Source organism: Homo sapiens, chromosome 11 (genome assembly GCF_000001405.40).
Source record: "Homo sapiens chromosome 11, GRCh38.p14 Primary Assembly".
In the NCBI taxonomy this organism is placed as follows: Eukaryota; Metazoa; Chordata; class Mammalia; order Primates; family Hominidae; genus Homo; species Homo sapiens.
The window spans coordinates 69,195,530-69,197,196 of record NC_000011.10 but is presented as its reverse complement, the minus strand read 5'-3'; the positions used below and the strand labels follow the sequence as shown (position 1 = coordinate 69,197,196).

The 1,667-nt window shown below is 58.6% G+C and overlaps 1 annotated feature.

Moving 5' to 3' along the window:
- Nucleotides 369-993: an enhancer, noted in NCBI's record as "H3K4me1 hESC enhancer chr11:68963671-68964295 (GRCh37/hg19 assembly coordinates)". NCBI's record gives its function as "activates a minimal SCP1, AML or CMV promoter by ChIP-STARR-seq in primed H9 embryonic stem cells {active_cell/tissue: H9 hESC(primed)}" and the evidence as "EXISTENCE:reporter gene assay evidence [ECO:0000049][PMID:30033119]".

Genomic DNA, 1,667 nt, shown 5'->3' with positions numbered 1-1,667 from the left:
CCCGGACCATGTATGCTAGTCAAGGGCAGGTTCCACCCAACCAGAGAGGCTGGCAGAGTAGCCCCTCCAGCGGTGAGAGGACCCCCCCGGCCTGCTGGATCCATGAACCCAAGCATAGGAGGGGCCTAGGCCACTACCCGACACAAGAAGGGGGCTGTGCTGTGGAGATCACGCACAGGCAGGGGCCACCGGGAGTGGAAGGCACAGCACTGAGCCCGGAGCACCGTCAAAAGAGAGGCTTGGGCCCAATCAGTAGCTCCCCAGCAGCCTTCTGGAGAGGCGGCCACGCACACGGGCTTCCAGGACCCAAACCCCACCACTCCTCCTGCTCCGGCCGGGCCACCCTGGGCCCGTCCCTCTGCTGCTCTGCGCCTAGGTTCCCTCAGGTGTGAAATGGCAATGGTAACAGCACCTACCTCACTTGGCCTGTGCCTGTTAAACAGGATAACGAGCACAACCATCCAGGCGTTAACAACTCACTGAACACCCAGGCGGCTGTCCTCGCTGTCACCTCATGGCGAACAGGAGCTGGGGGTGAGCAAGGGGCCACGTGCACCCCCCACCAACCTCCCCCTTCAGCCCCAGCAGGCTCATCTGGTTTCTATCCGAGGTCTCCATGCGATTGGGCATGAAAGGAAAGCGCTGGTGCTCAATGAAGTTTGAAAACTCCGGTCTCTGTGGCCCCTCCGCCGGCCGCCTGGGACCCTGACCACCACTTGCCTCAGGCCTGGAAACAGGCCTAACGCTGTCCAGGCAAGCAGAATCAAAGGCCCTCTGTCGAGCGCACATTTTCCAAGCGCTTGGAGGGTCTGTGAGGTCCTGGGAGGTGGGGAGGACGCGAGGTTATAATTGGCCTCCCCTGGGCCAACAGTACTTCTTAAGAAGGCGCCGCACAAAGAGTGTCCAATTTCCCAACCCGGCAGACCGTGGGTTTAATTAAGGTCCATAAAAATGTAGCCGGCAAAGTGTAAGAGGTATTGCATCTTTCCCAGTCAATATGGGCATGTGTCTTACCTGGAAAAAGTGGTTTATGCAGAAAGAATTTCCCAAATGGGTTCCATATGCCTGCTTTCCCCCATAGCGGGGCCTTCCACCGGGGCCGGGGTTGGGGGCTGGGACATGGGCCCTCCTCCCAGCACGGCCTCCTCGCTCACCCTCTGCCGGCTGCCGCTGTTTAAACAGAAGACGTCATGGCGAGTGATATACGGTGGATTCCAAAGATTGTTTCATCCAGGGGAAATTGCTCCTGGAGCCAGCTCCATCCCAGGTAAGCCACAGAGACCTACTGTGAAGTGAACTGTTCACCCTCCCGCAGGCCCTGAAGCAGGAAGTGCTCCTCATGCCCACTGCTTACTGTCAGTTACTCCATGGCCCAACAAGGGCGCCAGCACAGGGCCAGGCACTCGGGACCCCAGAGATGGAAGGGACCACAGGGGTGTCTGGCTAGCGTTCCCCATCACACTTTCCAGATGGGACCACTGAGTTCCAGGGAGGGGACACAACTAGCCCGGGACAACGGATCTTGGAAGCCGTAAGAGTGGCATTGATTCGGGGTACCATGGAAGTCAAAAGGTAGTCAGGAGAGGCAGAGAGGAGAGAGGGGGAGCGAGAGGGCATCTTTAACGCCTGTTCCCAATGCTAGATGCAACCCCAGATGTCCTAGTTAT